We start from the raw sequence: 27,364 nt of genomic DNA, 5'->3' as shown, positions 1-27,364 counted from the left end.
TATGTTTATTTATATTTATTTATTTATTTCGAGACACAGTTTCACTCTGTCGCCCAGGCTGGAGTGCAGTGGCACAGTATTGGCTCACTGCGACCTCCACCTCCTAGGTTTAAGCGATAATCATGCCTCAGTCTCCCAAGTAGCTGAGATTACAGGCATGTGCCATCACTCCGGCTAATTTTTGTATTATTAGTAGAGACGGGGTTTCACCATGTTGGCCAAGCTTGTCTCAAACTCCTGACCTCAAGTGATCCAACCGCCTCAGGATCCCAAAGTGCTGGAATTACAGGTGTGAGCCACTGTCATTGGCCTAGAGTTTTTTTTTTTTTAAGGAATATTTCAAAGTATTGTCTTCAAGTTAGTTCAGTTCACCAACATTTTATTGACATACTCCCTTGGAATACTAATTTTATGGTGAATAATCTTTGATTTGCTTTGTAGGTATTAGGTTTTGAAACCTTGAAACTAGTATTAATATATTATTTGTGGTTACTGGAATGTCCCATAGATAATATGGTTTGATAATTAAAGCAGAGAACTGAAAATCAAATTTCTCTGCTCCCCAACCCCTCACCCTCATTTTCGATACCAATCTAGGAAATATCAGAAATAATTTTATTTCTATATTGGTTTAGTCAGCCGCAAAATGGAGCTAATAGTGCTTCAGAAGGGTGGTGTGAGACTTAATGAATATTGCTAAAGCGTTTGTTTCTGTGAAAACAACTGTATTTGTTTTATTTTAAATATATATTTATACTTATTCGGGGTCGGGCCCAACACTTTGGGAGGCTGAGGCTGGTGGATCACTTGAGCTCCGGAGTTCGAGACCAACCTGGCCAACATGGTGAAACCCTATCTCTACTAAAAATACAAAAAAAAAAAAAAATTAGCCACGCATGGTGATGAGTTCCTATAATCCTAGCTACTTGGGAGGCTGAGGCAGGAGAATCGCTTGAACTTGGGAGATGGAGGTTGCAATGAGTCAAGATCGTGCCACTGCACTCCAGCCTGGGTGACAGAATGAGACTCCATCTCGAAAATAACTAAGTAAATCATTAATAAATAAATATATATTTATATTCCTTCAACTTTAAATGGCCAACTAAGAGCTTGTATACACTTGTAAAGTATTTTAATGCAGTATGTATTATAATAATTTAATGCAGTAAATTATATATATTTAATGTAGCATATTAAGTTATATATATTTAAGGCAGTATATTAAATTATACCTATTTAGTGCAGTATATATTATATATATTCAATGCTATATATATAGCCAAATGGAAAAAGGCATCAATATAATTGTAGTGTTGATTTATTGGGTATCTCCTAAGGAAATTGTTTTCTACAGTTAGAAAGTATTGCTTTATATCATTATATCATATGGATAATAATCTGTTGTAGTGCAAAACAGAAAAGTTGGAATAAAGTATGCTTATACCATGTCTTCTTAGTAATATATAATCTTGAAAATTATATATAATTTGAAATGGATATATGTTTATATATATATATATATTTTTTTTCCTTTTTAATGATAGCCAAAGCTATGATATTGGGAAGATGGATAAGAAATCTACTGGGCCAGAAATGCTGGTAAGGATCATGTTAAATATTGTAGAAATAGGTTGAATAACCTGCTTTATTTTATTGTTATAAAATTATAATAGCGTACTCCCCATTTATGAGTAGATTAGCTATTGGGCACAACATTTAACATCTCAGTGTATTTGTTTTTGTATATTTATATAATAATATAATCTAACTCATAGGCATGTACCCATGAATTAATATATGTAGAGTGCTTTGAACAATGTTTGGGTATGTAAATTTTAACTTTCTTTTCTGTGTGTGTGTGTGTGTGTGTGTGTGTGTGTGTGTGTGTGTGTTTTGAGATAGAGTCTCGCTCTGTTGCCCAGGCTGGAATGCAGTGGTGGGATCACTGCAACCTCTGCCTCCCAGGTTCAAGCGATTCTGGTGCCTCAGCCTCCCAAGTAGCTAGGACTACAGGCATGAGCCACCACACCTGGATAATTTTTGTGTTTTTAGCAGAGACGGGGTTCTGCCATGTTGGCCAGGCTGGTCTGGAACTCCTGACCTCAGGTGATTTGCCCACCTTGGCCTCTCAAAGTGCTGGGATTACAGGAGTGAGCTACCGTGCCTGGCCTAGTTTTAACTTTTCTTATTGCATATTTTGAAGTTGCAGATTTTTCCCCAACTGCCCAGACAGAACGTGCTTGGATATGGAAATTAATCTTAATATGTAATCAAGCAAAATGTGATTGTGTAAATAAATGTGATGTAAAATTACTACATTCTATAGCAAAATGGAATCTTTTGAATATCCATTTGATTCTTACTATTACAGCATATTAATCAAAATGTAACTGGATACCTTTTTAATGTATTTACCACTGTAATATATGGGGAATAAAAGAGAAGCATAAAATGTAGCTTCTGCCCTTAAGGAACTTATGATTAAAGGATAAAACTAGTACAAGTGACTACAATGAAATATTATCCTGGCTTAATAAAGAAAGAAATCTGACACATGCTACAACATGGGTTAACTGTGAGGAGACTACGCTGAGTGAAACAAGCCAGTCACAAAAAGACAGATAATGTATGGTTCCACTTATGTGAGGTATGTAGAGTAGTCAAATTCATAGAGACAGAAAGTAAAATGGTGGTTTTAGGGGGTAGGGAGAGGGGAGAATTGGGAACTATTGTTTAGTGGGTATAGAGTTTCAGTTTTGCAAGGTAAGAGAGTTCTCGAGATGGATGCTGGTAATGATTGCACAAGAGTGTGAATATACTTAATACTACTGAACTGTACACTTAAAAATGTTTAAGATGGTCATGGAGCCGGGTGCAGTGGTGTGTACCTGTAGTCCCAGCTACTCAGGAGGCTAAGCCAGGAGGATTGCATGAAACCAGGAGTTTGAGGCTGCAATGAGCTGTGATCATGCCTGTGAATAGCCACTGCATTCCATCTGGGCAACATAGTAAGACTCCATCTCCAAAAAAAATTTTTTTTTGAGACAGGGTCTTGTCACCCAGGCTGGAGGGCAGTGGTGTGATCAGCTCACTGTAACCTTCAAACTCCTGGGCTCAAGCAGTCCTCCCTTCTTAACCTACTGAGTAGCTGGGACTACAGGTACACTCCACCACATCTGGCCAATTTTTAATTTTTTATAGAGACGGGGGTCTCACTTTGTTGCCTGGGCTGGTCTCAAACACCTGGCCTCAAGTGATCCTCCCACCTTGGCCTCCCAAGGTTCTAGGATTACAGGCATGAGCCACTGCACCTGGCCTAAGATTTTAAAAAAAGTTTAAGATGGTCAATTTTATGTTATGTGTATTTTACCACAATTAAATAAATTATTTATATATAAATATATAATATTTATATTTATATATAGTGACATTGTCACTTATTATATAACAGTGAGACTCAATTAACTATAATAATTGCAACGATATGGATGTTCTCACCTATAATATTGAACAAATGAAGCAAGATACAAAGTAGTACTTACTGTATGATTCCATAAATGTAAATGCCAAGAACAGTCAAAATGAATATATGGTGTTGGACATCAGGGAATTGGTTACCCCTATTTGAAACAGGGTCTGAAAAGAAGCATGAGTGGGCTTGTTGCTGTTAATGTTCTGTTTCTTAACTTTTTTGTTGTTAACATACATGTGTTTACTTTGGGAAAATTCGTAGAGCCTAGAATTCATAAGAGCATAGAGCTCTTGAGATTTTTATACTTTTCTGTAAGTCTTTTATACTTCAATGAAGAAAAATAGAATTTAAAAAACACTACTAGAAGTGAAACAATTTGGGAAGATAATGATAAACTTTGTGGTACTGACCTGAAGTATGCAGAAGGGCATATAGAAAAGGAGATTATCAAGATTAGCTAGAGTAGTTGTAGGAGCCTTTTGGTAGGAGACAGGCCTTTTTGGGGTCCACACAGTTAAAAGGGAGGAAGAAAATGACTCCAGGCAAGGGATCTAGATGGGAGATGTCTAAGAAGGAAATAAGGATGGAAGATAGGATACAAGCTTGATTAAAATGGAATATTCATATTCCATATTGTAAGTTTAGTGAGGTAATACTATGCAGTAATTTTTTATTTCATGCCAGCAGTCATTTATTTGAGGTGTAATTTATATACAGTAAACTTCACAAGTCTCAAGTGTACAGCTTGATGAGTTTTAATATATAGTAGTCTTGTATATTACACCATACAGATCAAGATACAAAAACTTCCCAACACCCCCAAAAGTTCCCTTGGCCCCATTCTAGTTAATACCCACCTCTACTTCCAAGAACAAAAAAACACCATTCTGACTTTTACTACTCTAGATTATTTTTGACTGTTTTTGAGCTTTGTATAAATGGAATCATACAGTTGTCCTGTTTTATGTCTGGCTTTTTTAAAACATACATTGTGAGATTCGTTCATTTTGTTACGTCTTTTGGATGATTTGACACTTTCACTGTTATGAAATAGCTACAGTATTTCTCAGAAATGCCATATTTACTCCATAAAAGTCATTTGGGGGAGCTTATAAATTCTTAGAGTTGTTCCACGATAATAATGTGGTGGTAAGCTGATTAAATGAAATATTGCTCTGCCTCAGTTTCCTTATTTTAAAAGGGGGGATGATAAAATACGTTAAATACTGTTAAGAAAATAATTATATTAACATAATTATATTAAATGTAAATAAGCCAGGAATATAGCCATTACTGTAACATTCTTAGACAATATTTTATATGGGTAGCATAATGATGAGACATATTCCAAGACTGTGGTCGCTTAAGGAAATGCTATTTCATAAAGATGACTTATGTTTGAGAAGATGCCTGTCACTGTGGGAGTGCTAGTCAGCTGTTGTATTGAAGTTTAACCATCAGATATGTGCTTTTTTTCTTTTTTTTTTTCTTACAGGCTAAAGTTCTACGGCTATTAGCCACGAATTATTTGGATTGGGATGACACCAAATATTATGATAAGGCTCTCAATGCTGTAAACCTAGCAAACAAGGTATGGGGCTTGTATTTTTGAATACTAACTTAATGTATTTTTTGAAGTCTTGATCACATTTTGAAATCCAGTTTAGACATTTGCTTCAGCATTTACTCTCACAGATTGTTATAATCTCTTCTATAGCACAGAAAGGAAAAATAAAATATTGCTATAATCTGAATGTTTGTGTCCCCGCAAATTCCTATGTTGAAATCTTAACCCCCAAAGTGATGATATTAAGAGGTGGGGACTTTTTGGTGTAGAATGGACGTAAAAATAAAAAAGGTGGGGACTTTGGGAGATGATAAAGTCATTGGGCAAACCCCTCTTGAATGGTATTACTGCCCTTATAAAAGAGGTCCACAGGAGTTTGTTCACCCCTTTTATCATGTGAGGACATGAGAAGGCACTGTCTTTGAGTAAGCAGGCCCTCACCAGACACCGAATCTGCGAGCACCTTGATGTTGGAGTTCCCAGCCTTCAGAACTGTGAGAAATCAATATCTGTTGTTTGTAAAGTATCTAGTTTATGGTATTTTGTTATAGCAGCATGAACAGACTAAAACAAATATACTTCTTTGAACACCAGAGATTTTTGAGAAAATTTTCTTTTCTGTGAAACAGAAAGGGATGTCTCTACTGTGAGTTTTTAGGATGAAGAAGTAAATGATAAAATACGCAGAATAATGGGATTTAATTTTAAAAACAACTCCAGTGGTTGACTTTCAGCTCATGTTCACACATACCTAAAAACATGAATACAAAGCGGGCGTGGTGACACATGCCTGTATTTCCAGTTGCTCAGGAGGCCAATGTGGGAGATTTGCTTGAGGCCAGGAGTTCAAGGCTGCAGTGCACTATGATTGCATCTATGAATAGTCACTGCACTTCAGCCTGGGCAACATAATAGCAAGACCCCATCTCTAAAACAAACAAAACAAAATGTGTATATATCTACACTCCTGGACAAGGAACACTGAAAGGCTGGTGACCCTTTAAAAATAGATTCAGGCTGGGTGCGGTGGCTCATGCCTGTAATCCCAGCACTTTGGGAGGCTGAGGCAGGCAGATCACAAGGTCAAGAGATCGAAACCATCCTGGTCAACATGGTGAAACCCCATCTTTACTAAAAATACAAAAGTTAGCCAGGTGTGGTGGCATGTGCCTGCAGTCCCAGCTACTCGGGAGGCTGAGGCAGGAGAATCGCTTGAACCCAGGAGGCAGAGGTTGCAGTGAGCCGAGATCGCACCACTGCATTCCAGCCTGGTGACAGAGCAAGTCTCCGTCTCAAAAAAAAAAAAAAAAAGAAATGAAATAAAATAAGAGAGATTCAATTAGGATCAATGTGTTTTACTTAATAAGGCAATTAAATATACTGATACACTTTAGAAAGGTTTTTTTCAACAGAGTGGAAGCATGAAAATGAATAGCTCGATCAACCAGAATGTTAAATTTGTCAAACAGAGCATTTACTTGAACTATATTTTCCTGAAATTTATGTTATGTGGATGGGGTTATTTAATGCTGAAAAACTTGTTCAACATTAAAATTAAAAAATTAATGTAGAAATATTTATAGACAGGAATATTTTCTTTTTTTAAATTTTACTTTAAGTTCTAGGATACATGTGCAGAATGTGCAGGTTTGTTACATAGGTATACATGTGCCATGGTGGTTTGCTGCACCTATCAACCCGTCACCTAGGTTTTAAGCCCTTGCCTGCATTAGGTATTTGTCCTAATCCTCTCCCTCCCCGTGCCTCCCACCCCCTAACAGGCCCTAGTGTGTGGATGTTCCCCTCCCTGTGTCCATGTGTTCTCATTGTTCTACTCCCACTTATGAGTGAGAACATGTGGTGTTTGGTTTTCTGTTCCTGTGTTAGTTTGCTGAGAATGATGGTTTCCAGCTTCATCCATGTCCCTGCAAAGGACATGAACTCATTCTTTTTTATGGCTGCATAGTATTCCATGCTGTATATGTGCCACATTTTCTTTATCCAGTCTATCATTGATGGGTATTTGGGTTGGTTCCAAGTCCTTGCTATTGTAAATAGTGCTGCAATAAATATACGTGTACCTGTGTCTTTACAGCAGAATGACTTATAATCCTTCGGGTATATACCCAGTAATGGGATTGCTGGGACAAATGGTATTTCTGGTTCTAGATCCTTGAGGAATCACCACACTGTCTTTTACAATGGTTGAACTAATTTACACTACCACCAAAAGTGTAAGAGCGTTCCTATTTCTCCACAACCTTACCAGCATCTGTTGTTTCCTGACTTTTTAATAATTGTCATTTTAACTGTCGTGAGATGTTATCTCATTGTGGTTTTGATTTGCATTTCTTTAATGACCAGTGATGATGAGCTTTTTTTCATGTTTGTTGGCCGCATAAATGTCTTCTTTTGAGAAGTGTCTGTTTATATCCTTTGCCCACTTTTTGATGGGGTTGTTTGTTTTTTTCTTATAAATTTGTTTAAGTTCCTTGTAGATTCTGGATATTAAACTTTTGTTAGATGGGTAGATTGTAAAAATTTTCTCCCATTCTGTAGATTGCCTGTTCACTCTGAAGATAATTTCTTTTGCCCTGCAGAAGCTCTTTAGTTTAATTAGATCCCATTTGTCAATTTTGGCTTTTGTTGGAATTGCTTTTGGTGTTTTAGACATGAAGTCTTTGCCTATGCCTATGTCCTGAATGGTATTGCCTAAGTTTTCTTCTAGGGTTTTTATTGTTTTGGTTTTACATTTAAGTCTTTAATCCATTTTGAGTTAATTTTTGTATAAAGTGTAAGGAAGGGGTCCAGTTTCTGTTTTCTGCATATCAGCCATACTATTTTTCTTAGCAACTGTATCATTTTAAATTCCCATCTATAGTGCACAAGGGTTGCAATTTCTTCACGTCTTCAGCAGCACTTGTTATCTTCTATTTTTTAATAATAGACATCATTATGAGTGTTAGGTTCACCTTTGTTTTTTGAATGATATTTTTTCCAGGTATAGAATTTAAACCAGACAGCTTTTTTTGGGGGGGGGGTATTTTAAATATTTCATTCCACTGTATTCTCATTCTGTTGTTTCTGTTGAGAAATATGGTGCCATTCTTATGTTTGTTCTTTTTTATATAGCGTGTCTTCTTTTCTGAATAAGTTTTGGATTTTTTATCATTGGTTTTGAGCAACTTGATGTTATGCTTTTAAGTAATTTTATTTACGTTTCTCGTGCTTGGGGCTCTTTGTGATTTTTTGGATGTCTAGGAGCATAATTTTCATTATGTTTGAAAAGTTCCAGTATTTCTTCAAATTTTTTTTCTGCTTTCCCCCAAGTACTCTAATTAACCATGTATTAGGCTGCCTGAAGTTGTGCCATAGTTTGCTTATACTCTTTTCACTTAAAACATAATTTGTTATTTTTGTTTCATTTTGGACTGTTTTGTATTGCTATTACTTTTAAGTTCATTAATCTTTCTTCTGCAATGTCTAATCATCTGTTAATCTCATCCCATATATTTTTCATTTCAGACTTTGTAGTTTTTATCTCTAAAAGTTTGATTTGGTTTATTTTTATATCTTCCAAGTCTCTAGTTAAATTTTTGAGCATACGAAATACAGTTATACTTACTCTTTTAATGTCTTTCTTTGATAATTCTAATATCTATGTCACTTCTAGATTAGTTTCCATCTATTATCTCCCCATTATTGATTGTTTTTGCCTGCTCTGTCTTTCACTGGGTGCCAACTATTTTACATCGTTGGCTGCTGGATATTTTTGTAATACTATAAATCTTATTGAGCTTTATTATGGGAAACAGGCAAGTTATTTGGAAACGATTTGATCCCGCTGTTCATGTGAACTCCTGACTCTTGCTTAGTATGAAATATTTCCTTCTTTGTTTTGTAATTATGGATATGTTAATTTATGTTCAGTGAGTGTTAAGTTTTTAGAATCCTATTCAACCTGGATTGAGAGCATGGCCCTGCAGAGAAACTTTTTATTGGCATCAGCCAGATGTAAAAGAGTTACCACTCTTTTGGTTACTTTTATTTTACTTTCTCAGATTGGAGGTTTTTGGACCACATGAGTAATGTAAATTTGAACTCTGTATCTACATGAAGGCAGAGCCCATTAAAAAATTATCCAAACCAAAAAACTTATCTACACAAACTTTTTTTTTTTTTTTGCCTCACTCAGAGCTTAGCTAGAAGACAAACTTCCTATGCCATTAGATAAAAGAAAAAAACTCAGGAAACTTACCACCTCCATATGGTTCACTTCTCCAAGTTTTGTTGCCTCACTACAATCTTTGTTTTTGTTTACTTTTAAGAGTCCTCAGGTTGTTGCTTTTTATATCTTGTTCAGAGTTCTTAGTTGTAATTAGTAGAAGGTATAGGCTTAGTTGTCTTGCTTCATATCTGCTGGAACTGAATCTGATAGTAAATTTTTAAAGGAGAAATTAAAATTTGGTATGCCTATGTTGTTTCACAAAATTACCTTTGAAAATGTATTAGTGCAATGAAATAAATATAAAAGGCATAGGTGCTTAGATACTACACCAAAAGCACAAGCAAAAAAGAACAATTAGGTAAAATTAAGTCTCATTAAAATTAATTTTTTTGCTTCAAAGGAAATCATCAAGAAAATGAAGACACAATCCATAGGATCCTCCCAACAGAATGGGAGAACATATTTGCAAATCATATATCTGTTGTCTATTAACCATAATATAAAAAAGAACTCTTACTATTCAATAAGAAGACAAACAACCCAATTGAAAATGGGCTAAGGAGGCAAAGGAGCTCAATAGACATTCTCCAAATAATACGTACCAGTGGCCAATAAGTACACAAAAAGATACTCAATATCATTAGTTATCAGGGAATGCAAATTAGAAGCACAATGAGAAACCACTTTACATCCACTGGTATGGCCCTCCGACTTGTTTTTATTTCAGAATTGTTTTGGCTCTTCTGAATCTCTTGCATTTTCATATTTTGGAATCAGCTTGTTGATTTCTGCAAAGAAGACAGCTGGGAATTTGGTAGGGAATTTGTTGAATCTGCAGATCAATTTGGGAATTATTGCTATCTTAACAATATTAAGTTTTCAAATCCAGGAACATTTATTCATTGTTTTGTAGTTTTCAATAAATAAGTTTTGTCCTTCTTTTGTTAAATTTATTGCTTCTTTATGCTTTTATAAATGGAATTATTTTCTTGACTTTTGGATTGTTCATTGCTAGTATATAGAAATGCCATTAATTGAAAAAATACTGATATTATATCCTACAATCTTCCTGTACTTGTTCTTTTAGCTTTAATAGTTTTTTAATGGATTACTTAGGATTTTCTGTATACAAGATCATATTTTCTGGCCGGACGCTGTGGCTCACACCTGTAATCCCAGTACTTTGGGAGGCTGAGGTGGGTGGATCACTTGAGGTCAGGAGTTCGAGACCAACCCGGCCAACATGGTGAAACCCCATCTCTACTAAAAATACAAAATTAACCAGACATGGTGGTGCATGCCTGTAATCCCAGCTATTTGGGAAGCTGAGGCAGGAGAATCACTTGAATCCAGAAGGGAGAGGTTGCAGTGAGCCAAGATTGTGCCATTGCACTCCAGCCTGGACAACAAGAGCAAAACTCCGTCTCAAAAAAAAAAAATCATATTTTTTGTAAATAAAGATAGTTTTACTTCTTGCTTTCCAATCTGCGTGCCTTTTGTCTCTTTTTCTTTTCTAATTTTTCTAGCAAGAACATTCATTACTATGTTAAATAGAATTGGCAAGAGCAGTATCTTTCCCTAATCTTAGAGAGCTTTCAGTATTTTGCCATTAAGTATGGTGTTAGCTGTGGGTTTAGTATAGATGCCCTTTGTCAGGTTGAGGAAGCTCCCTTCATTCCTAGTTTTTTGAGAATTGTACAACCACGTTAAAAAACAGTTTGAAGTTACTTGATAAAATAAAATTTGATCATACTGGACCACCCAGCAACTTCACTCCTAGGTAGTGAAGCGCTAGCATTTGTATACAAGGAGAGGTATACAGAATGCTGATTCCAGGATTGTTCATAATAGCAATTGCGTTGGAAACAGCTTAAATATCCAAAGTAGAATGTGCAAATAAAGTGTGAATTATTCATAAAACAGAGTACTATACAACAGTTGTTCTTAATATTTAGCTTGTGTAAGTATTACCTAGAGTGTCTGTTAAACACAGTTTGCTCATTTGTTACCTTACTAAACAGATAATAGAATTTATGTTGAATTGGAAACTTTCCATAATGCAAATCAATAATAATTATTTTACACATTTTCCCCCACACATGCACATACAATTTGCTAGGCAATACTCCCAGAGTTTCTCATTTAGTAGGTTTTGGATGGGGCTTGAATTTCTTTTTTTTTCTTTTTTTTTAAATTATACTTTAAGTTTTAGGGTACATGTGCACGACGTGCAGGTATGTTACATATGTATACTTGTGCCATGTTGGTGTGCTACACCCATTAACTCGTCATTTAACATTAGGTATATCTCCTAATGCTATCCCTCCCCACTCCCCCCAACCCACAACAGGCCCTGGTTGTGATGTTCCCCTTCCTGTGTCCATGTGTTCTCATTGTTCAATTCCCACCTATGAGTGAGAACATGCGGTGTTTGGTTTTTTGTCCTTGCGATAGTTTGCTGAGAATGATGGTTTCCAGCTTCATCCATGTCCCCACAAGGGACATGAACTCATCATTTTTTATGGCTGCATAGTATTCCATGGTGTGTATGTGCCACTTTTTCTTAATCCAGTCTATCACTGTTGGACATTTGGGTTGGTTCCAAGTCTTTGCTATTGTGAATAGTGCCGCAATAAACATACGTGTGCGTATGTCTTTATAGCAGCATGATTTATAGTCCTTTGGGTATATACCCAGTAATGGGATGGCTGGGTCAAATGGTATTTCTAGTTCTAGATCCCTGAGGAATCGCCACACTGACTTCCACAATGGTTGAACTAGTTTACAGTCCGACCAGTAGTGTAAAAGTGTTCCTATTTTTTCACATCCTCACCAGCACCTGTTGTTTCCTGACTTTTTAATGATGCCATTCTAACTGGTGTGAGATGGTATCTCACTGTGGTTTTGATTTGCATTTCTCTGATGGCCAATGATGATGAGCATTTTTTCATGTGTTTTTTTTGGCTGTATAAATGTCTTCTTTTGAGAAGTGTCTGTTCATATCCTTCACCAACTTGTTGATGGGGTTGTTTGTTTTCTTCCTGTAAATTTGTTTCAGTTCATTGTAGATTCTGGATATTAGCCCTTTGTCAGATGAGTAGATTGCAAAAATTTTCTCCCATTTTGTAGGTCGCCTGTTCACCCTCATGATAGTTTCTTTTGCTGTGCAGAAGCTCTTTAGTTTAATTAGATCCCATTTGTCAATTTTGTCTTTTGTTGCCATTGCTTTTGGTGTTTTAGACATGAAGTCCTTGCCCATGCCTATGTCCTGAATGGTATTGCCTAAGTTTTCTTCTAGGGTTTTTATGGTTTTAGGTCTAACATTTAAGTCTTTAATCCATCTTCAATTAATTTTAGTATAAAGTGTAAGGAAGGGATCCAGTTTCAGCTTTCTACATATGGCTAGCCAGTTTTCCCAGCACCATTTATTAAATTGGGAATCCTTTCCCCATTGCTTGTTTTTGTCAGATTTGTCAAAGGTCAGATAGTTGTAGATGTGTGGCATTATTTCTGAGGGCTCTGTTCTGTTCCATTTGTCTGTATCTCTGTTTTGGTACCAGTACTATGCTGTTTTGGTTACTGTAGCCTTGTAGTATAGTTTGAAGTCAGGTAGCGTGATGCTTCCAGCTTTGTTCTTTTGGCTTAGGATTGTCTTAGCAATGCAGGCCCTATTTTGGTTCCATAGGAACTTTAAAGTAGTTTTTTCCAATTCTGTGAAGAAAGTCATTGGTAGCTTGATGGGGATGGCATTGAATCTATAAATTACCTTGAGCAGTATGGCCATTTTCATGATATTGATTCTTCCTACCCATGAGCATGGAATGTTCTTCCATTTGTTTGTATCCTCTTTTATTTCATTGAGCAGTGGTTTGTACTTCTTCTTGAAGAGGTCCTTCATGTCTTTTGTAAGTTGGATTCCTAGGTATTTTATTCTCTTTGAAGCAACTGTGAATGGGAGTTCACTCATGATTTGGCTCTCTGTTTGACTGTTTTTGGTGTATAAGAATGCTTGTGATTTTTGCTCATTGACTTTGTGTCCTGAGACTTTGCTGAAGTTGCTTATCAGCTTAAGGAGATTTTGGGCTGAGACGATGGGGTTTTCTAGATATACAATCATGTCATCTGCAAACAGGGACAATTTGACTTCCTCTTTTCCTAATTGAATACCCTTTATTTCCTTCTGCCTGATTGCCCCGGCCAGAACTTCCAACACTATGTTGAATAGGAGTGGTGAGAGAGGGCATCCCTGTCTTGTGCCAGTTTTCAAAGGGAATGCTTCCAGTTTTTGCCCATTCAGTATGATATAGGCTGTGGGTTTGTCATAGATAGCTCTTATTATTTTGAGATACATCCCATCAATACCTAATTTATTCAGAGTTTTTAGCATGAAGGGTTGTTGAATTTTGTCAAAGGCCTTTTCTGCATCTATTGAGATAATCATGTGGTTTTTGTCATTGGTTCTGTTTATATGCTGGATTACATTTATTGATTTGCACATGTTGAACCAGCCTCGCATCCCAGGGATGAAGTCCACTTGATCATGGTGGATAAGCTTTTTGATGTGCTGCTGAATTCAATTTGCCAGTATTTTATTGAGGTTTTTTGCATCAATGTTCATCAGGGATATTGGTCTAAAATTCTCTTTTTTGGTTGTGTCTCTGCCCGGCTTTGGTATCAGGATGATGCTGGCCTCATAAAATGAGTTAGGGAGGATTCTCTCTTTTTCTATGATTGGAATAGTTTCAGAAGGAATGGTACCAGCTCCTCCTTGTACCTCTGGTAGAATTCGGCTGTGAATCCATCTGGTCCTGGACTTTTTTTGGTTGGTAAGCTATTGATTATTGCCTCAATTTTAGAGCCTGTTATTGGTCTATTCAGAGGTTCAACTTCTTCCTGGTTTAGTCTTGGGAGGGTGTATGTATCGAGGAATTTATCCATTTCTTCTAGATTTTCTAGTTTATTTGCGTGGAGGTGTTTATAGTATTCTCTGATGGTAGTTTGTATTTCTGTGGGATCAGTGGTGATATCCCCTTTATCATTTTTTATTGCGTCTATTTGATTCTTCTCTCTTTTCTTCTTTATTAGTCTTGCTAGCGGTCTATCAATTTTGTTGATCTTTTCAAAAAACCAGCTCCTGGATTCATTGAGTTTTTGAAGGCTTTTTTGTGTCTCTATTTCCTTCAGTTCTGCTCTGATCTTAGTTATTTCTTGCCTTCTGTTAGCTTTTGCATGTGTTTGCTCTTGCTTCTGTAATTCTTTTAATTGTGATGCTAGGGTGTCAATTTTGGATCTTTCCTGCTTTCTCTTGTGGGCATTTAGTGCTATAAATTTCCCTCTACACACTGCTTTGAATGTGTCCCAGAGATTCTGGTATGTTGCGTCTTTGTTCTCATTGGTTTCAGAGAACGTCTTTATTTCTGTCTTTATTTTGTTATGTACCCAGTAGTCATTCAGGAGCAGGTTGTTCAGTTTCCATGTAGTTGAGCGGTTTTGAGTGAGTTTCTTAATCCTGAGTTCTAGTTTGATTGCACTGTGGTCTGAGAGACTGTTTGTTATAATTTCTGTTGTTTTACATTTGCTGAGGAGTGCTTTACTTCCAAGTATGTGGTCAATTTTGGAATAGGTGTGGTGTGGTGCAGAAAAGAATGTATATTCTGTTGATTTGGGTTGGAGAGTTCTGTAGATGTCTATTAGGTCCGCTTGGTGCAGAGCTGAGTTCAGTTCCTGGATATCCTTGTTAACTTTCTGTCGTGTTGATCTGTCTAATGTTGACAGTGGGGTGTTAAAGTCTCCCATTATTATTGTGTGGGAGTCTACGTCTCTTTGTAGGTCTCTAAGGACTTGCTTTATGAATCTGGGTGCTTCTGTATTGGGTGCATATATATTTAGGATAGTTAGCTCTTCTTGTTGAACTGATCCTTTTACCATTATGTAATGGCCTTCTTTGTCTCTTTTGATCTTTGTTGGTTTAAAGTCTGTATTATCAGAGAGTAAGATTGCAACCCCTGCCTTTGTTTGTTTTCCATTTGCTTGGTAGATCTTCCTCCATCCCTTTATTTTGAGCCTATGTGTGTCTCTGCACGTGAGATGGGTTTCCTGAATACAGCACACTGATGGGTCTTGACTCTTTATCCAATTTGCCAGTCTGTGTCTTTTAATTGGAGCATTTAGCGCATTAACATGTAAGGTTAATGTTGTTATGCGTGAATTTGATCCTGTCATTGTGATGTTAGCTGGTTATTTTGCCCGTTAGTTGATGCAGTTCAGCCTTGATGGTCTTTACAATTTGGCATGTTTTTGCAGTGTCTTGTACCGGTTGTTCCTTTCCATGTTTAGTGCTTCTTTCAGGAGCTCTTTTAGGGCAGGCCTGGTGGTGACAGAATCTCTCAGCATTTGCTTATCTGTAAAGGATTTTATTTCTCCTTCACTTATGAAGCTTAGTTTGGCTGGACGTGAAATTTGGGTTGAAAATTCTTTTCTTTAAGAATGTTGAATATTGGCCCCCACTCTCTTCTGGCTTGTAGAGTTTCTGCCGAGAGATCAGCTGTTAGTCTGATGGACTTCCCCTTGTGGGTAACCCGACCTTTCTGTCTGGCTGCCCGTAACATTTTTTCCTTCATTTCAACTTTGGTGAATCTGACAATTATGTGTCTTGGAGTTGCTCTTCTCGAGGCATATCTTTGTGGCGTTCTCTGTATTTCCTGAATCTGAATGCTGGCCTGCCTTGCTAGATTGGGGAAGTTCTCCTGGATAGTATCCTGCAGAGTGTTTTGCAACTTGGTTCCATTCTCCCTGTCACTTTCAGGTACACCAATCAGACGCAGATTTGGTCTTTTCACATAGTCCCATATTTCTTGGAGGCTTTTTTCATTTCTTTTTATTCTTTTTTCTCTAAACTTCTCTTCTCGCTTCATTTCATTCATTTGATCTTCCATCACTGATACCCTTTTTTCCAGTTGATCGAATCCGCTACTGAAGCTTGTGCATTCATCACGTAGTTCTTGTGCTGTGGTTTTCAGCTCCATCAGGTCCTTTAAGGACTTCTCTGTATTGGTTATTCTAGTTAGCCATTCGTCTAATTTTTTTTCAAGGTTTTTAACTTCTTTGCCGTGGGTTCGAACTTCCTCCTTTAGCTTGGCGTAGTTTAATCGTCTGAAGCCTTCTCTCAACTCGTCAAAGTCATTCTCCATCCAGCTTTGTTCTGTTGCTGGTAAGGAGCTGCGCTCCTTTGGAAGAGGAGAGGTGCTCTGATTTTTAGAATTTCCAGTTTTTCTGCTCTGTTTTTTCCCCATCTTTGTGGTTTTATCTACCTTTGGTCTTTGATGATGGTGACAAACAGATGGGGTTTTGGTGTGCATGTCCTTTCTGTTTGTTAGTTTTCCTTCTAACAGTCAGGACCCTCAGCTGCAGGTGCATTGGAGTTTGCCAGAGGTCCACTCCAGACCCTGTTTGCCTGGGTATCAGAGCGGAGGCTGCAGAACAGCGGATATTGGTGAACAGCAAATGTTGCTGCCTGATCGTTCCTCTGGAAGTTTTGTCTCAGAGGAGTACCCGGCCGTGTGAGGTGTCAGTCTGCCCCTCCTGGGGGGTGCCTCCCAGTTAGGCTACTCGGGGGTCAGGGACCCACTTCAGGAGGCAGTCTGTCCATTCTCAGATCTCAAGCTGCGTGCTGGGAGAACCACTACTGTCTTCAAAGCTGTCAGACAGGGACAGTTAAGTCTGCAGAAGTTTTTGCTGCCTTTTGTTTGGCTATGCCCTGCCCCCAGAGGTGGAGTCTACAGAGGCAGGCAGGCCTCCTTGAGCTGCAGTGGGCTCCACCCAGTTCGAGCTTCCCAGCCTCTTTGTTTACCTACTCAGGCCTCGGCAATGGTGGGCGCCCCTCCCCCAGCCTCGCTGCTGCCTTGCAGTTTGATCTCAGACTGCTGTGCTAGCAATGAGCGAGGCTCTGTGGGCGTAGGACCCTCCAAGCCAGGGGTGGGATTTAATTTCCTGGTGTTTTGTTTGCTAAGACCGTTGGAAGTGCGCAGTATTATGGTGGGAGTGACCTGATTTTCCAGGTGCCATCTGTCACTCCTTTCTTTGACTAGGAAAGGGAATTCCCTGACCCCTTGTGCTTCCCTGGTGAGGCGATGCCTCGCCCTGCTTCGGCTCAGGCTCAGTGCACTGCACCCACTGTCCTGCACCCACTATCCAACACTCCCCAGTGAGATGCACCCAGTACCTCAGTTGGAAATGCAGAAATCACCTGTCTTCTGTGTTGCTCACACTGGGAGCTGTAGACTGGAGCTGTTCCTATTCAGCCATCTTGGCTCCAACCCATGGCTTGCATTTCTTACAAGTTCCCAGATGGTGCTGATTCAGGGACCACCCTTTGACAGCCATGCTGTATAGTAATGAAAACAAATAAGTTTCACATATCTACATGGTTGAATCTGAAAAAACATGATTTGAATGAAAGGAATCACAGAAGAACTTAGATACATTATGATTCTGTTTAAGTGAAGTTCAAATGTAGGCAAAACTAAATAATTGTGTTGGCTAGCTTGAGCTGTTATAACTAAATACTATAAACTGGGTGGCTTAAGCAACAGAACTTTATGTCTCACACTTCTAGGGACTGAGATGTCCAAGATCAAAATACCAGCCTTTTTGGTTCCTGGTGGGGGCCTTTGTCTTGGTTTGAAGATGGCCACCTTCTTTCTATATCTTCATTTGGCAGAGAAAGAGAGAGAGAGAGAGATCATCTCTCATCTCTCTCATGTCTTTTCTTATAAGGGCACTTATCCCATTCATGAGGGCTCAGCCCTCATGACCAAATTACCTCCCAAAGCCCCCACCTCAAAATACCATCACATTGGGGATTAGATATTCAATATATGAATTTTAGAAAGACACAAACATTCGGTCCATAGCAACTGTATATTGTGTATATATAAAGAAAAGCAAGGGAATTACTGCACAAAATTCAGGATGGTGTTTACCTCTGTGAGGTGAGGAGGATGCCTATGGGTAAGGATACATTTGAGGCTTTTTATGTGGCAATAATCTGTTTCTTAACCTTGGTAGTGAGGACACCGGTGTTTGTTTTATTATTATTCTGTAAACTATACATATACATTGCATATACATATGTTTATATACTCATGTGTGTGTATGTGTGTATGTGTATGATACACTTCACACTAGAAATGAGTACATTATCTTTAGAGCTTGCAAAATATCCAGATAGTGTAGTAATGCCTGCCATGATAGACAGAGCTTCAAGGGAGGCAGCATATTGTAATGGAAAGATTATGTCCTTTAGAGTCAGAGAGATCTGAATTCAAATTTCAGCTCTACTACTTACCAGTTGTGTGACCATGGGTAAGTTACTTAACTTTATCTGGCCCTGCAAAACAAGATTCACAATACTTATCTTGTATGTTTGTTGTACCTGGAGCCTGTTTCTCAGTAACTGGTGAAAAGAAAAAAATCAGCAAACAAAAATCTAAGGAAGGGAGCCAGGCATGGTAGTTCATGCCTATAATCCCAGCACATTGGGAGGCTGAGACAGGAGGATTGCTTGAGCCCAGGAAGTGGAGGCTGCAGTGAGCCGTGTTTGTACCACTGCACTCCAGCCTGGGAGACAGAGTGAGACTCTGTCTCAAATAATGAAAAAAAAAAAGCAGCCAGGCCTGGTGGCTCATGCCTGTAATCCCTGCACTTTGGGAGGCTGAGGCAGGTGGATCACTTGAGGTCAGGAGTTCGAGAACAGTCTGGCCAACATGGTGAAACCTCGTCTCTACTAAAAATACAAAAATGAGCCAGATGTGGTAGAGTGTACCTGTAATCCCAGCTACTCGGGAGGCTGAGGCAGGAGAATTGCTTGAACCTGGGAGACGGAGGTTGCAGTGAGCCGAGATTGTGCCACTACACTCCAGCCTGGGCGATAGAGTGAGACTCCATCATGAATAAATAAATAAACAAACAAACAAAGCTATGAAGAATGAGAAATAACAGTGGGAAAAGTTACAGAGAAGACAAGGATTTTGATAGTAGGGAGAAAGCTGATGGATTTAGCAGGCAATCTTCATGACTTCTGGAAGTGTAGTTTTAAGAGACAATAAGGATGGACAATATACGGTGCAAATGTTTACAGAAGTGAAGACATGATGATAACAGAAGTAAAATGTCCATTATCTGGGGTTGTTTGGTAATGAAATCAGTGAAAATCATATCTGGAATTGTTTGGTAGAAAAAAACCAGAATGTTAAATTTGTGTGAGAATAGCAGACTCAAGGAAAACAGATGTTGCCAAGATCTGGAAGACCTCTATGTCTCTGAAGATAAAAGGGAATTGAATCCAACACATACTTCAACAAACCTACAGGAAAGATGGTAATGCAATAAATCAAAATTGGCAACTTCAGTTTATTCTTTGTACTAGTGTCATCTATATTTGCAAGCCCTTTTAATACCAGTGCTTACTTTCTCCAACTTTCTATTTTTAAGACATCTCACATATGAATACCTGTAATTATGTGCAGAGTATGGAGCTAATCAGTACGGTGTTCATGTAGGGGTTAATTGGCTTTGTAGAGAGAAAAGTTCTGTTCTGTGGGCCTAGACTGTACTTTTAGTCTTAGAAAGTTGTTTAAAGATGTACCCTGTCAGGCGAAAGTGGAACCGGGAAGATCACAGATGGCTTAGGGCCAACTAACAATGATTTAGAAATAACGTTGTTATTAATGGTAAACACGACAGGCATATCTTATGGAAAAGACAATACATTTTCTATTTTATTCCGCCATTGTTTGCAAAGGACCTTAGTCAATAAATCTCAAAAGAAAATAAAACTAGCCGGTTTGTGGTTTTGCTTACAAAGAATATGGCCTGAGATTTGTACAGTTTAAGTATTAATCTTGTCATTAAATGTTTGTCACTCATTGGAAATATTTACATGTTCTTTTCCATATATTATTTCATTTAGATTGAAAAAATATTGGGAAATATCCTCAGGGATAGAACAAATGTTATGATATGGTCTTCTGTAATTTCGATTTCCTTTGATTATGAGTTATCCCAAGGTGGTTGAATAAAGCAGGCAATTACTTGAAAATTGTCTTTTACATTCCACAATTTTAATATCATTGTGATTTCTTTGTTTAAAATAGGAACATTTAAGTTCTCCTGGGCTTTTCTTAAAAATGAAAATCCTCTTGAAAGGCGAAACATCTAATGAAGAACTCCTTGAAGGTATGATCTCTGTATGTGAAGAGCACACCATTTTGAAACATCACTACAATTTGTTAAATATAAGATCTTTTGTAGTATACTAACAATAGGTGTAATTTGATGGTGGCTGAGAAGGAAAATGATCACCCAGGAAAGGGAAAATATTGTCACCCAGGAAGAAAGAGAGAAAGAAGAAAAAATAGTAGCAAATTTAAAAGGTGTTTTTTTTTTTAAAAAAAGCTGAATAAAAGCAATCAGTTTTCTTTTAGTCCAGCAGAGAACTGTAGCTACCCAACCCTTCTGAAGTTGTCTACCACCATGAAGAAAGAAAGATTACCTATTAATGGGAAAAGCCTTTGTAATGCTGTGATTTTTATAATTACTTGTTTATAAACATTGCTATTTATTTTTCATAATTCTCCAAGGACCAGAATGTACACTGCACAAAAGTTGGTCATTGGGCAAGTCACTTAACTTTGCTTTGTTTCTTCATTTAGCAAAAGAGATATTATTATTATCTACCTCATCATGTTGTTTTGAGAATCTTGTGAGAAAATGTGTATAAAGCATTTAACACCATACCTGGTGCATAGTGTGCAATATATGTTACCTATTACTGTAGTTATTATTATTACTGTTATTACTACTATATAGATGCATTACATGAAGCAAAACTATGCACACTAGCCCTTAACATTTCAGTTTTGTTTAGTCATAAAAATTATTTACTCTAATTCTTTTAATGTTGTACATGCTTTTCAGTAATCTTTAAGAGCTGCATTATTTGTACTATACAAAATTATATGTTAGTATAGTTACTGATTATCCAATAAATAATAACAATTTGTTATAGTTAGAACTAAAATTCAATTTGGCAGTAGCCCTAAATTTAGTACTACTGAATCTTTCGGCGGCCTCTAGAATTTTAGCCAATCACTTAAGAGACCTCAGAAGCTCAAATGTATTGGGGATTCTGCATCTCTAGGCAACAGTATCACCTCAGCATACACAGATTGAAAAATGTTAGAAACCAGGAAGACAACTCTACTTTTTTGCATTGGGGGAATAAACAAACCAACTAACCAACTAAAATAATACACTTACTCCAACTAAGACAACATAGGAAGACCAGAGAGATGATTGGAGTCACCAAGTTGAAGTACATTAGTTTGGGATGATAATTCCTTATGACAGTGTTTATCCAAATGTAGGTAAGAAGCAGAGTTTAAAATGAAATTGTTCTTTATTCACAGATTGCTTTTACTTAACTCAATCTAGATACTCCCGAAGTTGCAATGTCAGTCATAGTTTGATTACAGATTAGGAGGCTAACCCAAATCCAAGTTTTTTATATTTAAAAATACTAGATTTTGCATTGAAAGAATATATGAAACTTGCATTTTTATATTCTGTTTGTTGCTTTGCTGGTGAAAATACTTTACTCTTAAAATGGTCAGCCTAACTGCTGGCATTATTGCACTGATATTTTTTGTAGTAGAAAGATTGAAATTTAAAAATAAACATTTTTCATTGTGAAAGGATAGCACATAATAATTTAAGACATTTTTGGAAAATACTAAAAATTCTCATGGTCCTACCATCCACTAGAAGCTCCTTGACAGCAGGAATATTTGTTATGTTTTATCCACTGCTAGGTTCTCAGCACAAAGCACAATGCCTGGTACAGATAATATGCTCATTAAATATTTGTCAAATAAATAGAATCTAAACACAATCACTTTTAGAAATTTGATCACTTATTTTCAGTATTTTTTCTCTTAGTTTATTTTGCTTTTATTACAGAATTGTAACTATATAGTACATAAAAGTTTGCTTTCTAATTTTTCACTTACTAATCTTATACATTTTTCATATTAGTGTATATTCATTTTTTCCACTTTATTTCATACTCAACAGTTTTAATGGTTGCACAATAGTTTATTGCTACCCTGTAATAGACATACAGTGTATACTTCTTTTCTATTATTATTATAATCTACACTGCTTTTAATATTTTTGTTCATAAACTTTCCCCATATTTATTCCAGGTGACTTTTCAGAAGCACAATTTCTTAAAGGGAATAATAATAGCAGCTGCCATTTATTAAATGCTTACTAAGTGCTAGGTTCTTTGCTATATAATTTCCATACATTATCTCAGGTAATCCTCTCAACAACCCTGAGAAATTGGTGGTATATTCTCCATTTTACAGGTGACAAAACTAAGGTATAGAGAGCATAACTTGCCTATGGCCATACAAGTAGCAAGTGGTTTCAAATTTAGATCTGTCTGACTTCAGATACCAAGCTCTCTACCCCAGTGTTCTTAGCGTATAGTATTGCCAAGTTGCTTTTTGAAAGGATTGCACCAGATTACTTTGCTATCTGTGCAAGAGTGCTTGTGTCATGACACTCTCCAGCACTGGATGTTAATACTTTAAAAGAAGATTTTGATAAATTTTTAGGCAAAACATGGTATATGGCAAACATTTAGTAAGTAGATTTTGAATAGAGGAAAATTATTGAAAATAACTAAGCTTCCTCAAAAATTAAACTGATAATTATTTCATTTTTTCATCTTGTTAGCTGTCATGGAAATACTACATCTTGACATGCCCTTAGACTTCTGTCTGAACATTGCTAAACTGCTGATGGATCATGAAAGGTACAGAATTGATTTCCCTTTCTCTAAAGACTGACAGTTTTTGGCTAGGCACCAGTGGCTCACACCTAGAATCCCAGCACTTGGAGAGGCTGAGGCGGGAGGATCCCTTGAGCCCAGGAGCTTGAGACCAACCTTGGCAATATAGCAAGACCCCATCTCTACAAAATATTTTTTAAAAAATTGGCTGGTATGGTGGCATGTGCCTGTAGTCATAGCTACTCGGGAGGCTGAGGCGGGAGGATCACTTGAGCCCAGCAGTTCAAGGTTACAGTGAACTATGATAGTGCCACTGCATTCCAGCATGGGCAACAGAGCAGGACTCTCTCAAAAATAATTTTAAAAATTTAGTCCCTCCTTCACACTAGCCATGTATCAAATCCAAATAGCTGCATGTAGCTAATGGCTGCCTTATTGGACATTACAGATTAAAAAAATTTCCATTGTCACAGGGAAGTTCTATTGGGCAGCACTGTTTTAGACCCTGTATTTCTTTTAATGCAGACAACATTTAAAATAGTTCTTTTCTGGCAGCTACATCATATGGTTAATTTCCTGGACTTATGAAACTATATGCCTCATATCCTCCACTTTTATGGTTAAGAACCCATTAACCATACTTTATAAACTATTAAATTTCAGCCTGATTGTTACAGCCTATTTTTTCAGTTCTTCTGATCTTTGTGAATTTCACTTCTATCATGCAGTGTATTAACTATTCCTCCCAGTTTGTGTCATCTTCAAATTTGGTATTGCCACCTGTCTTCATCTAATTCAGGGGTCTGCAAACTTTTCTTACAGGTTAAGATATAAGTATACATTTTGGGCTTGTGGGCCACACAGTCTCTGTCACAACTAGTCAACTCTGCCGTCGTGGTGCAAAAGTAGCCGTAGACTAATCATAAACAAATGTGTGTGGCTTTTATTCCAGTAAAACTTTATTCATAAAAACAAGCAGAGCAGCTGGACTGCAGGCCATAGTTTTCTAACTCCAGATAATTTGACAAACAGCAAAACTGAGGCCAGAACCTTCGTGGCAGCATAGATTAATCTCCAGGTTAACAGCAATCCATTAATTGATACTTTTTAGTGTACAATCATTGAACCTGTTATAAATCCACCTAATTATAGAGCTAGATGACCTAATTTCCTTCATGTTGTTCACAAAAATTTCATGGAACTTAATTTTTATTTTTTAAAGTTTTGGTTGCTTTTATCCTTCCTTCTTCCAAAAAGAATTTGAAACTTCTTATATTCAAGTGTATAATAAAGCTCTGAAAATTGAAATAGACAATCAAAACCCTGAAAAGGAGGAAGCAAACACACCAAACACAATGGCTAATATAGTTGCTGTGGTAGAGCATTCAATTTAATGGTAAGCTTTCTTGCAGCCAGGGAGAAGGGGCAATGTGATATTTTATACAATTTTCATTATTAAATAACAAAAGCTAACATTTACTGATACTTGCTTTTTACTAGGCACTATTCTAAATTCCTTACATTATAAATTATGAAGTACCTCTAACGTAATTTGATTAACCCCATTTTGCAGGTGAGAAAAATGAGGGTTAGATAGAAAAAGTAATTTGCCCACAATTGCATAGCTAGGAAGGAGCAGAGCTGGAATTTAAATATGTTTGCAGAGCTCACACTTTTTATTACTGTAGTAGAAGGAATACATTCAATACTACATTCCAAATCAATTAATCACTAGAAAAAGTTTACAAAGTGGTGGACTATGGGCTGGGTGTGGCGAGAGATGTGTTGCATATAGTTGAATTAGTTGCCAACATTAAACATTCAGGAAATTTCACATAAAAATATGGTTTTCATATATATATATATATTATATATATGTATATAATATATACATAGAAAATCTGTGTAATGAAAAATAATTCAAGAAAAGGACTGAAATTTCAACTGGGTTTATTTTGGAAAGTGAATAAAATAAGCAATCCTGTTGTAAAATGCAGTTATGTAGTTATATATTAAGGGAAAAGATTGCCCAGGCATTAGCTCTCTTACAGATGACAACTTTACAAAAAAGTGTCTACTGAGTCACACAACATATTCTTTTTTTTTTAGTACCTTCTTTTTTTATTATACTTTAAGTTCTAGGGTACATGTGCACAACATGCAGGTTTGTTACTTATGTATACATGTGCCATGTTGGTGTGCTGCACCCATTAACTCCTCATTTACATTAGGTATATCTCCTAATGCTATCCCTACCCCCTTCTCCCACCCCATGAAAGGCCCCGGTGTGTGATGTTCCCCTTCCTGTGTCCAAGTGTTCTCATTGTTCAATTCCCACCTATGAGTGAGAACATGCAGTGTTTGGTTTTTTGTCCTTGCGATAGTTTGCTGAGAATGATGGTTTCCAGCTTCATCCATGTCCCTACATAGGACAGGGACTCATCCTTTTTATGGCTGCATAATATTCCATGGTGTATATATGCCACATTTTCTTAATCCAGTCTATCATTGTTGGACATTTGGGTTGGTTCCAAGTCTTTCCTATTGTGAATAGTGCCACAATGAACATACGTGTGCATGTGTCTTTATAGCAGCATGATTTATAATCCTTTGGGTATATACCCAGTAATGGGATGGCTGGGTCAAATGGTATTTCTAGTTCTAGACCCTTGAGGAATTGCCACACTGTCTTCCACAATGGTTGAACTAGTTTACAGTCCCACCAACAGTGTAAAAGTGTTCCTATTTCTCCACATCCTCTCCAGCACCTGTTGTTTCCTGACTTTTTAATGATCGCCATTCTAACTGGTGTGAGATGGTATCTCATTGTGGTTTTGATTTGCATTTCTCTGATGGCCAGTGATGATGAGCATTTTTTCACGTATCTTTTGGCTGCATAAATGTCTTCTTTTGAGAAGTGTCTGTTCATATCCTTTGCCCACTTTTTGATGGGGTTGTTTGTTTTTTCTTGTAAATTTGTTTGAGTTCTTTGTAGATTCTGGATATTAGCTCTTTGTCAGATGAGTAGATTGCAAAAATTTTCTCCCATTCTGTAGGTTGCCTGTTCACTCTGATGGTAGTTTCTTTTGCTGTGCAGAAGCTCTTTAGTTTAACTGGATCCCATTTGTCAATTTTGGCTTTTGTTGCCATTGTTTTTGGTGTTTTCTGTTGCATAGACATAAATAATAATGCCCAGTGAAGCATATTTATTTGTGGTGTCAATGAGAATTTTGATATGATAGAACTTTTGAACATAGTGCCTGTGTCTTAAGTTTAATGTAGACTGGTCAAAATAACTTAAGTATGACTACAGAAGATATTTCTGCAATGGTTAACACAAGACTTGATATGAAACTTAAATCCAAAGTGGCAGTGTTTTTAAAGATAAAAAACTTCAGTGTATTAATTGTATAATTCACCAGGAAACACTGTCCTAAAAAGATAAAAAATGAAACGTGTATATAATAACAATATATGTATACCAGATATTATTCTGTGGCCTCAACCGAGATTATTGCTTTTTTTGGATGAATTGGATGCACAATACAGTAGTTGCTTCTGCTTCTTGTAGATTAGGGGGCTTAGTTGTATGTGGTGTTGTCACAGGTTGGGTTGCCCTGGAAGCAAATTTTGAGATGGAGGTTAACGTGAAGATAATTTATTAAAGGGTTCTTTCAGGATCAACACCTGTGAAGGGAAGGGGATGCAGCTGGACTAATGGGAGAAGTTGGCCTAGATATAGTCAGAAGGCCTCAGCCTTACTTATTGGGAGCTCTGAAGCTGGGATGGTCCCTCCAAATTGTCCTCAGCTAAGGTCAGAGGGCCGGTCCTTATAGCCCAATGTTGACTAGTCTCTGTATGCCAGTTACCCTGGGAAAGGAGAATGACCTTGGGTGTGGTAGCTTTTTTCAGCCTAGCGAATTCCTAAAGAGCAACTGGGGAATAAATACTTCAGTTCTGAAGGGGAGTTTCGGGATGTAGTGCAGCATTTATGTCAGGTGCTGAAGATATATTTTTTGAACTGTTGAAAGAATTCAACTTGTTCATGTCATCCAAGGGAAAATCCCTGACTCAGTTCAGTGACTGACCTTTTTGGTGAATATGATAATCCATATAAACACTCTGAATCTTTCTCGCGAAAGTGCTCATAAGTAGTTACACAAATGTAAAATTTAATTCACATGTTCTTAGTGAAGTCATTTTTTGGGGAAATGCTTTTGGCAAGGAATAATCCGGCTTACT

At 37.2% G+C, this 27,364-nt stretch overlaps 1 protein-coding gene across 6 annotated transcripts in view; it reads left to right on the top strand.

Annotated features, from left to right (window-relative positions):
* TEX11 (testis expressed 11) overlaps positions 1-27,364 on the top strand; it is a 397,485-nt gene that overhangs the window by 162,948 nt on the left and 207,173 nt on the right. For 4 of the 6 annotated variants that reach the window (XM_017029649.1, XM_011530994.2, NM_031276.3 and 1 more), the window contains 4 exons: positions 1,545-1,599; positions 4,968-5,063; positions 20,421-20,502; positions 23,068-23,146. In XM_017029649.1, coding sequence (XP_016885138.1) covers positions 1,545-1,599; positions 4,968-5,063; positions 20,421-20,502; positions 23,068-23,146 — 312 coding nt within the window. Of the gene's footprint in view, positions 1-1,544; positions 1,600-4,967; positions 5,064-20,420; positions 20,503-21,496; positions 21,693-23,067; positions 23,147-27,364 lie in introns of those variants that run through there. The other 2 variants (XM_017029650.1, XM_017029651.2) reach the window with 2 other exon arrangements.

This window comes from Homo sapiens, chromosome X (assembly GCF_000001405.40).
Source record: "Homo sapiens chromosome X, GRCh38.p14 Primary Assembly".
NCBI lineage: Eukaryota > Metazoa > Chordata > Mammalia > Primates > Hominidae > Homo > Homo sapiens.
The sequence above is the reverse complement of the archived record's forward strand: the minus strand, read 5'-3'. Positions and strand labels throughout refer to the sequence as shown.